Below are 11,001 nucleotides of genomic sequence, written 5' to 3'. Positions count from 1 at the left end.
AGTTCAGCCAATAACACATGTGTTATATATTTCATTTAGAAAATGACTAGTGAATCTTACTAGGCACACTATCCTTTGCTTTTTTCATTCACTATATCTTGTGGTTGCTGTGGTTTGAATGCTTGTTCCCTCCAAAGCTCAAGTTGAAACTTAATCCTCAGTGTGGCAATATTGACAGGTTGGGGTAGGGGGTGGGAATGGTGGCTCATGCCTACAATCCCAGCACTATAGGAGACTGAGGCAGGAGGATCACTTGAGCTCAGGAGTTCAAGACTAGCCTGGGAAACATGGCGAAACACCGTCTTTACAAAAAGTACAAAAATTAGCTGGGCAAGGTGGCATGCAACTGTAGTCCTCATCTACTAGGGAGGCTGAGGTGGGAGGATCTCCTGAGCCCAGGTCAAGGCTGCAGGGAGCCGTGATCATGCTGCTGCACTCCAGCCTGGGTGAGAGAGTGAGATCCTGTCTAAAAAAAAAAAAAAAAAAGAAACCTGGAGAGAGATGCAGTTGTCTTGGAGGTTATTTGATCATGAGACTCTGGTGCCCATGAATGGACTAGTCCATTCATGGATTAATGGATTATCATGGGAGGGGAACTGGTGATATAAGAAGCAGAAGCAGGAAAGAAACTAAGATATCACACTAGCATGCCCAACCCCTCACCATGAGATACGCTATGCCATTATGGGACTCTTCAGAGGGTCCCCACCAGCACAAAGGCCCTCACCAGATGTAGCCCCTCACCTTTGGACTTCTCAGCTTCTGTAACTATAAGAAATAAATTATTTTTTAAAATAAATTACCCATTTTCAGGTATTCATCTATAAGCAACAGAAGATAGACTAAGACAATGGCTTTTCATATCAATAAATGGCTTTTCATATATCTACCTCATTCTTTTAATTGCTGTGTAGTATTTTGTTATCTGGATATTCTGAATTTTATTTGTCAATAATCCAATTATTGAACAATTTGGCTATTTCCACTTTTTATTTATTTTACAAACAGTACTATGATAAGTATTTTCATAATTATACTTTCTTGCATAGGTGGAGAAGTAGCTGTAAGATACATTTTTAGAATGGAAACTGCTCAGTCAAGAGGTATGTTGGTATTTCTTCTGATTTGCCTGTTTAAGTTATTTGTCCATATTTTCCCCATTGGATCATTGTTATTCCCTTAGTGATATATTTGTCAGAGATTTACATAGAAGAAAGGAATGAGTCTCTTGTCATGTGTGGTTTTATAGGATAAAATGTTGTAACATTGGCCTGGAACTCTTGGGTCGGTCTTCTTGAGGCTTTTACAAAGCAAATGGTTTCTAGGACCAAGTCATCTTAAGTCATGGTAATGCAGCCACAGATAGGAAGCAGGTTTCCATCCCCATACTTTGTAATCTCTTGTAATGATGATGATAATACCAAAAAGCTGAGAAAATGTAGATATTGAATACATTTAGTTGATTCCATGTCAGATTATATCAGTTTGTTTCCACACTGCTATAAAGAAATACCTGAGACTGGGTAATTTATAAAGAAAAGAAGTTTGATTGACTCACAGTTCCACATGGCTGGGAAAGCCTCAGGAAACTTACAATTATGGTGGAAGGTGAAAGGGAAGCAGACACCTTCTTCACAAAGTGGCAGGAGAGAGAGAGAGCGAGGGAGGAAGTGTTACACTTTTAAACCATCAGATCTCATGAGAACCCACTCACTATCATGAGAACAGCATGTGGAAACTGCCCCATGATCCAATCACTTCCCACCAGGTCCCTCTTTAACATGTGGGGATTACAATTCAAGATGAGATTTGGGTGGGGACACAGAGCCAAACCATATCACAGACATTTTCCAGAACTTTAATTTTCCTACTAACCATATGATTTAGTAAACAATGCGTGTTACGGATTAAATAATTGAGCTCTTAACACATTTCTTTCCACCAAACAAAAATCTCAATTTCAATCAGTAAATCTGCCAGGCAGGTGGAAAAATCTTGTTATTCATGTTGATGGGATCAACACTTATGGAATATATCTCCAAACCTCAGTGGCCTATTCACTCACTTGAAAGGACCACACACCACTGGCCATTGGTCATAGAACATTTTTCCTGCCTGGCATATTTTCTTCCTTTCACAACTCAGCTTAAATGTCCTTCCCTCAGAGAAACCTTGCCTGACCTTTACCTATTCCCAAGCCTAACATACATTGTTCCTGCTAGACTCTGTCAAAGTACTTTGCTCTTTCCTTAATAGCATTGAACGTAACTGGTAATCATACACGTATCTGTTTAGCACAATGTCTGAAACGTGTTAGACACACAATAAAGACGTGAATGTATAAAACATGAATTTTTTTGGGTTCTAACATTGTACAATTTTATGAAATGTGAAATTTCAAGGAAGCTATAGATATTTTCATATCTCATAATTCATGATGTTTCTATAAACACTGCAACAAAAACATACCTGTCTGGACAAAACTCGGCTTTCCTTATTCATTTCCACCTATGTTCTTGGGAAAACAAAATATCTTCTACATCCCGGACTCTTATCCTACTGACTCCACAGCAAGTTTTCTCCATTTTGAACTTTCCATAAGTCTTACCTTATTACTCAGATTGAAGAAAGAGTAAGAGAAACCAATTAATATATCCAGAGCTCTGCTCCAGTGTGTAGGTACACGTTAGATGTCTTTTTTATTTTTATCATTACAACAGACTTTATGACTGCAATAAAAATGTGAGTAGATTCTTCAAAGATAAACATCTGAAAGAGAGAGGGGGGTTACATTCTAATAGCCTGTGGCTGCTGTCAGAAATAATTTAATGCTTAGTGCTTCGTCGGCTGACCCAAGTCCTTTGAAGAAGTGAAGCATGCTACTTACACCATCGTGGCTGCCCAGAATCCACTTATTTATGTGAGGTGCTCTGTAGTGCTGCTCAATGAAGGCAAGAAGCCTGAACTTGGTAATTGAGAATGAATGTCAAGTAGTGTCAAGACGCCTCAATTCATCAGGCTGATAACTCCTTCTGTGATTGCATTTCCATTTTTACAGCTGCTTCAGTGGCCAAGTTTGCCAGTCTTGTTTGGGAAAGTATATATATTACAGAACTCTTGGCACTGCCTGAGAAGAAGTTAGTATTTTTGATTCATTTCTAAGAGTTGTGGAATTTTCCAACTATTATAGAGGAAAATTTTATACAATTTATAAAGAGGTAGAAAGAAAGGAAGGGACATCTTTTAAAAGACAAGAAATAAGAGGAAGACAGCACTTAACTTATCTTTGCACTATTATTCTAGTAATGACAAATTTTAAGTTATTCACATTGGTGATATGTTTCTTTGGGAGGAAGAAACTTTTTTAAATGATGTGAAAATATACAAAGGACTAAACAATGGTGAGGAATAAATTAAATTACTAAAATGTTTTGCAACTATAGCTGCTTAAATTTAATAACATATACATTGTCCTTAGCACAGAGTCGAACCCAGGGATCAGTAACTTTTTCTGTAAAGAGCCAGATAGTAAATTATTTAAGGCTTTGCAGCCCAGATGGTTTCTGTTAAAAGTACTTTACTTACTCTACTCTGGCATTGTGCAAAAGAAGCCATAGACTATGTATAATTGAATGAGTGTGGCTGTGTCCCAGCAAAGCTTTATATATGGATACTGAAATTTGAATTTTTAAATATTTTATGTGTCATGAGTATTACTTTTCTTTTGATTCATTTAACTATTTAAAACTGGAAAAATCTGATACAATTTGGATATTTGTCCCCACCCAAATCTCATGTTGAAATGTAGTCCCCAGTGTTGGAGGTGAAGCCTGGTGGGAGGTGATTGGATCATGGGGGCAGAACCTTCATGAATGGTGTAGCACCATTTCCCTAGTGCTGTTCTCATGATAGTGAGTGAAATCTTGAAAGATCTGGTTGTTTAAAAGTGTGTGGCATCTCTTCCTTTACTGTCTCTCTCTTGCTCCTTCTTCTGCCATGTGACATGCCTGCTCCCCTTTGCCTTCTGCCATTTTTATAAGCTTCTTGAGGCCTCCCGAGAAGCTGAACAGATGTCAGCCTCATGCTTCCTGTAAAACTTGCAGAACAATGAGCCAATTAAACCTCTTTTTAAAAATAAACTACCTGGTCTCAGGTATGTCTTTATAGCAATGCAGGAACAGCCTAATACAGAAAATTGATACTGAGAGTGGGGTATTGCCATAAAGATACCTGAAAATTTGGAAGCAGCTTTGGAACTGGGTAATGGGTAGAGGTTGGAAGTGTTTGAGGGCTCAGAAGAAGACAGGAAGATGAGGGAAAGTTTGGAACTTCCTAGAGACTGGTTAAATGATTGTGACCAAAATGCTGATAGTAATATGGATAGTGAAGTTCAGGCTGAGGAGGTCTCGGATGAAAATGAGAAACTTGCTGGGTGTGGTGGCTCATACCTGTAATCCCAGCACTTTGGGAGGCCAAGGTGAGTGGATCACCTGAGGTCAGGAGTTCGCGACCAGCCTAGCCAACATAGGGAAACCCCATCTATACTAAAAATACAAAATTAGCTGAGTGTCATGGCTTGTGCCTGTAATCCCAGCTACTCGGGAGGCTGAGACAGGAGATTCGTTGCAGTAAGCTGAGATTGTGCCACTGCACTCCAGCCTGGGCGAGACAGAGTGAGACTCCGTCTCAGAAAAAAGAAAATGAGAAACTTCCTGGGAACTCGAACAAAGGTCACATGTGTTATACCTTAGCAAAGAAACTGGCTGCATTGTGCCCCTGCTCTAGGGATCCGTGGAAATTTCAACTTGAGAGTGATGACGTAGGGTATCTGGCAAAAGAAATTTCTAAGCAGCAAAGTGTTCAAGAAGTGACCTAGCTGTTTCTAACAGCATACACTCAGATGCAGGAGCAAAGAAATGACTTAAAGATAGAACTTATATTTAAAAGAAAGCAGGCCAGGTGCAGTGGCTCGTGCCTGTAATCCCAGCACTTTACGGGGCTGAGGCAGGCCAATCACCTGAGGTTGGGAGTTTGAGACCAGCCTTACCAACATGGATAAACCCTGCCTCTACTAAAAATACAAAAGTAGCCAGGCATGGTGGTGCATGCCTGTAATCCCAGCTACTCAGGAGGCTGAGGCAGGAGAATTGCTTGAACCTGGGAGGCAGAGGTTGCAGTGAACCGAGATCGTACCATTGCACTCCAGCCTGGGCAACAAGAGCAAAAATCAGTCTCAAAAAAAAAAAGGGAAGCAGAGGAGGCCAGATGCAGTGGCTCTCGCCTGTAATCCCAGGACTTTGGGAGGCAGAGGCAGGCAGATCACCTGAGGTCAGGAGTTTGAGACTAGCCTGACCAAAATGGTGAAACCCCAACTCTACTAAAAATACAAAAAATTAGCCAGGCATAGTAGTGCATGTCTGTAGTCCCAGCTACTTGGGAGGCTGAGGCAGGAGAATTGCCTGAACCCAGGAGGCAGAGGTTGCAGTGAGCTGAGATTGTGCTATTGCACTCTAGCCTGGACAAGGAGAGCAAAACTCTGTTATCGAAAAAATACATAAATAATAATAATAAAAGGGAAGCAAAGCACAAATGTTTGGAAAGTTTGCAGCCTGGCCATGTGGTAAAAAAGAAAAGCCCGTTTTCAGAATAATTCAAGCAGGCTGTGGAGCAACCACTTGCTAGAGAGATTTGTATAACTAAAAAGGAGCCAAGTACTAATAGCCAAGACAATGGGAAAAAGGCCTTGAAAGCATTTCAGAGACCTTCACAGCAGGCCCTCCCAGCATGGGCCCAGATGCCAAGGAGGGAAGAACGGTTTTGTGGGCCAAGCTCAGGGCCCTGCTGCCTTGTGCAGCCTTGGGACACTGCTCCCCACATCCCAGCTGCTCTAGCTCCAGCTCCTGCTGTGGCTCAAAGGGGCCCAGGTACAGCTCAAGCTTCTGCTCCAGCTCCAAAATGTGCAAGCCATAAGCCTTGGCAGCTTCCATGTGGTATTAAGCCTGCAGGCACACAGAATCTAAGAATGAAGAAGGCTTGGGAACCTCTGAATAGATTTCAGAGGATGTATGAGAAAGCCTGGGTGCCCAGGCAGAAGCCTGCTATAGGGACTGAGCCCTCACAGAGAAACTTTACCTGGGCCATGTCAAAGGGAAATGTGAGGTTGGAGCACACAGAGGGCACTGCCTAGTGGAGCTGTGGAAAGGGGGCCACCATTCTCCAGACCCCAGTCCCCAAAAACACTCTAGTTTTTTCTTATTGTTATACAAATTGTCTTGATTAGCAGACAATGTGGAAATCAGCTCCCAAAATATAGTAAAATATATCAAATAATTATATTTTCCTCCCTGAGACTTTATACTAGTAGTGGTAAAATTAAAAATACAAAAAAGGCTGGGTGTAGTGGCACACCTGTGGTCCCAGCTACTCAGGACTATTTGAGCCCAGGAGTTCAAGGCTAGCCTAGACAACACAGTGGGACCCCCATCTCGAAAAATAAAAATAAAAATTAAAATTAAAAAATTGAAGTCATGTTCCCAAAGTCAATTTGAGTACCTGTTTTGTGAGACTGAAGCTGCTTTAAACATGCACCATCTTAAACATTTTGTTTTGTGCTGATTGCATACAAAATAAGTGGTAATGATGAAAATCAAATTTACTGCATTGTAAGATAGACCGTCTATTAATGTACAAAGCACGTGCAAAATTGGATCTGATATTCAAGGGCAAATGCTACATTTGCAAACAGAATTTTAATAGTTTAAGGAAGCAGCTTCAGATTTGATATGGGTAATAATACAGAATATAATTTTGAGAGGCAGTATATAGCTGTTACAATTTTCTTAGACATTTGTCCTGCATCTTGGAAAGCAAGTGACAAAGGCCATATTTGTCTTCACAGCATTTAATGTGCTTTGGGAGGTCCAGCTAAAACTATATTAAGGATTTAGATAAAAGTTTCAGGCACTTATTTACATATTTCCAATCACAGATTCAGTTAATTATCTAGATTTTTCCCAGTAACAAATATTCTGATAGTTGAGGAGGTCTTTGGTTTTTACTTGGATGTCAAGCATTGTCCAGGTGCCTGAGACTATTTAGCATTTCTATGACACTTTAGAGATGCTTTCAGCCTTTGGGTGGCTAACAAGCTGTGTTTTGTACAAGACCAAGGATCTTAATCTGATCAAATGGTGGTGCTGAAAAGCTCCCTTGGTTTTTAATATGATGATCTAATGCTAGGAAATTGCAGTCCCTTGTTATTATACATGGATCAAGACATTCCATTCTGGCCATGGACTGTAACCTCTGTGGACCTTATTTTCTTACTAAAGGTCAGAGGGTCTTGGGGCCACCGGAGCAAATTTAAATGACTTAATTTTGTCCACAAGTATTTCTTCTTCCCAACTCTCACCCTCTACACATTTTAGTCCAAAGCAAAGCCTTCCTAGAAAAATGAATGGCTCATGTAGTATATAGTTACAAATCACATTATCACTGGATAACCACGCCATTCCTTATGATCAACATGAGCTAGATCTATCTTTAAATGCTGTTTTCCATTTACCTCAGCTTTTAAAATATTCTTTACCTTAAGATGTTGGGATCAGAACTGATCACAGTGGGTCTCCATAGTCTAGATTAGAAAAATTTCATTAGTCCTCTGAATGTCACGTAATTTAGATGAAACAGTCAGCATTTGATAAGTCCTTGAAGTGCCTCCATGAGCTTCTTTGTGGGTTTAATGCTTCCTTGCCCATTCCTTCCAGCCACTGTTAGCAGTTCTTGTCATCAGGTACTTTTATTTTCAAATAGGTTCCTGCTTCTGGTTATTGGAAAAACTATTTTACACTATCCATCATCTGGTTGATAAATACAATACCATACTTTATTTTACCTCAATAGCATTAGGTTAGTTAGATTAAGGGGAGTACTATTAAGTCTCATCATAGTCATAAACATTGTCAGCCTTTCTGAAAAACAACATACCTGAGGGAACAGCTAAGTTTGTCCTAATTTCAACAAATGAAATGCAAAGGTTTTGGCCTGGGTGGGGCTAATAAACTGGCTCCTCCCTTTCTTCAAAGCTTATTTTCTTTTTCAATCATGTAGTAGATTTTTTGGTGATTTTTTAAAAACTTTATTGGTTTGCCAGATACAAAAGGAAATTTTTCCCTAAAAAGAGCTTAAACTTAGTATCTCCAAGAAATTAAATGTGTTTTGCCTTTTCATTGTCTTTTAGATGGTTTGGAATATTTTTTTAAATCCTCATATTCTTAGTATTTAAATGTAAGCTTTCTCTTTTGGGCCCCCAAATACTACAGTTAATATAGAATAAATACACAAGTTTAGTTATAATATGGGCTCAATTACTCAGGTAGCACTTGGGTGTTAAAGACAAGTCTTCTTTCTCTTCCTTTTTTCTTTTCTGTTGTGTGTGTGTGTGTGTGTGTGTGTGTAACAAAGAGAAAGAGAACTTAAGTAAAAATTGGAGGATGCTGCAGCTGTTAAAAGCTCTCTGAAGCCCATTGAGCAAGAACAGAGCTGTTGAATAATGCAGACAAGATAATGAACAGCAGACAAATGATCCCAGGAGGCTCCCTGCTGGGTAAAGGGAGTATATACTTAGAGGGTAGATTTATTATCCTAACATCTTTTGTGGTGACCTCCAATTTATTGGAAATACCTGAGACATTTATAAATTCCAAGTTCTTCTCCTTCAACCAAAGCCTAACTTGCTTATCATCCCTACCTCAGCTTCTTGAAGCCATATGGCAAAGTTGCAAAACCCAAAATTTCCTCTTCAAAAGAAGATACTGAGAATTAACTAACCATGTAAAGAGAAAAGAACCAAGAAAGCAACCTTGTGGTTGATTTATTAGTTGAAGTACAAATGTTGTTCCCTAGGCTATAGGAAAGCATTCTAGATACAAAGCTTTCTTGTTTACTAGAAATAGCCAGTAAAGTTTAAACCTTAAGTGACTAGATTTAATCATGCAGCGCTTTAGAGGCACAATGTATTCCCAGATAAAACTGGGCCATTTTGTAACAAATGCAAAATGGCAGGATACATAGTATTGTGGAATTATAAATTGCCTTTGTTTTAAAATGAGCTTTCTTATAAGACAGCTTATAAGCTTTTGATGCAAGACTTATTGTTTGAATGTAATTAATTAGACATTATCTTACACAACCTCACAGTCAAATTCAGTGAGTACTTCAATTTGGGGTTGAAGAAATTACTCCATAAAGGAAGAGAAGCTTCCAAAGCCATGAGTGAAACAGTTTTGGAAAACTTTGAAATATCTCATGCACTTCCAAGATAGCTGGTCTATTTTTTTTTATTTAATTCCACATGTCCAACATGGTGAAACCCTGTCTCTACTGAAAATACAAAAATTAGCTGGGCATGATGGCACATACCTGTAATACCAGCTACTTGGGAGGCTGAGGCAAGAGAATTGCTTGAACCCAGGAGATGGAGGTTGCAGTGAGCTGAGACTGCACCACCGCGCTCCAGCCTGGGTTACAGAGTGAGACACTGTCTCAAAAAACAAACAATCCCCCACCAAAACAAACAAACAAACAAACAAGCAAACAAAAAAACAGGCTTATATATAATTTGTTTGATAGGGGATAAAAGTATACGCATGTGAATATGACAGTGGAATAAAAGAGAGTCAAAATTTTATCTTTCATTATAGGATGCCAGTGGATAATATCCAAAGTCTGAAATATTAGAAGAAAGAGCTAAAGAAATGTATAACTTGGTTATCACTGGGAAAGGCCACCCATTGCTGTGATCCATACAAGTCTATTCCTGGGGCCCAGTTAGTAGAGCAGAGAAGGGCAGGGAGTGAGTCTGGAAGGGCAAAGAGAAGAAGGCATTCAGTTTAGGAAGTTCCAGAGAAAATGATAAAGCTCATAATGAAGTGGATCATAAAGAAAAAAAGTTAAAATAGTTATAATTCTTTTTTATTTTTTATAATCATAATTCTTAATCCTAGATGATAAAATGATTGAAACAATTGAACAAAATAATTCCAGAACACAAAGCTTATAGACTAGAAAATAGCTATTTGATGTGAGTTTTAAAAAGTATCCTGGAATATAACGAAACGGACTCTAACTGTAGATTAGATAGCATGACAGTCTATATGCCAGCAGGACACATTAAACACTTGAATAATTCCTAGGAAAGGTTTTGGGACTTTTTCTCATGATATTGATAGACTTCTCTGCATTACAGAAATCTTTCCCTTTTTAAAGGCAAGAGGGATGAACCTCTTGCCTTTGAGTCATTTGTGATATTATTAGAAGTTGTATTAGTGTTCTATTATTGTGTAATAAATAACTGCAAACTCAGTGGCTTCAAACAACACATATTTATTAAGAGACAGTTTCCATTTGTCAGGAGTCTGGGGATAGCATAGTTGGGTTTTCAGTGAAGGGCCTCGTAAGCCTGCAGTCAAGGTGTCAGATGGGCTGTGTTCTCATCTAGAAGCTCAACTGGGGAAGAATGTGCTTCCAAGCTCATTCAGGTGTTGCCAGAATTTATTTCCTTGTGGCTGTCTGCTGAGGGCCCCAGCGTTTTGTTTGCTTTTTACTTGAAGTTTGCTCTCAAACCCTAGGAGCTGACTGAAGTTTCTTGCCATGGGAACGTCCTCAAAATGCCTGCTTAATTTCATCAAGCTAGCAAGGAAACTCACTCACTTTAGTCTGCTGCGACAGAGTCAAGTATATAACACCAAATAATCACACGGGTGATAGTCTATGACCTTTGGCATAACCCACTTGTTAGAAGTCAGAGATCCTGCCTGCTCTCAAGGGGAGGAGGTTACACAAAGGCATGGAAACAAAGGTGGGAAATCATTGGGGGTCACCCTACATCTATCGGCCACATGAGTGTATGAAAAATATAGAAATAGCTAAGATTTGCTAAAGTTGGTGTACAAACATAGTGTTTAACATAATAGTTTCTCTACTGTTACACATATTTCAAAA

At 39.3% G+C, this 11,001-nt stretch overlaps 3 annotated features.

Moving 5' to 3' along the window:
- Positions 4,535-5,043: an enhancer, noted in NCBI's record as "H3K27ac hESC enhancer chr9:79744301-79744809 (GRCh37/hg19 assembly coordinates)". NCBI's record gives its function as "activates a minimal SCP1, AML or CMV promoter by ChIP-STARR-seq in naive H9 embryonic stem cells {active_cell/tissue: H9 hESC(naive)}" and the evidence as "EXISTENCE:reporter gene assay evidence [ECO:0000049][PMID:30033119]".
- Positions 5,044-5,552: an enhancer, noted in NCBI's record as "OCT4-NANOG-H3K27ac-H3K4me1 hESC enhancer chr9:79743792-79744300 (GRCh37/hg19 assembly coordinates)". NCBI's record gives its function as "activates a minimal SCP1, AML or CMV promoter by ChIP-STARR-seq in naive H9 embryonic stem cells {active_cell/tissue: H9 hESC(naive)}" and the evidence as "EXISTENCE:reporter gene assay evidence [ECO:0000049][PMID:30033119]".
- Positions 5,553-6,061: an enhancer, noted in NCBI's record as "OCT4-NANOG-H3K27ac-H3K4me1 hESC enhancer chr9:79743283-79743791 (GRCh37/hg19 assembly coordinates)". NCBI's record gives its function as "activates a minimal SCP1, AML or CMV promoter by ChIP-STARR-seq in naive H9 embryonic stem cells {active_cell/tissue: H9 hESC(naive)}" and the evidence as "EXISTENCE:reporter gene assay evidence [ECO:0000049][PMID:30033119]".

Source organism: Homo sapiens, chromosome 9 (assembly GCF_000001405.40).
Source record: "Homo sapiens chromosome 9, GRCh38.p14 Primary Assembly".
Lineage (NCBI taxonomy): Eukaryota > Metazoa > Chordata > Mammalia > Primates > Hominidae > Homo > Homo sapiens.
This window is presented reverse-complemented; position numbering and strand designations above follow the sequence as displayed.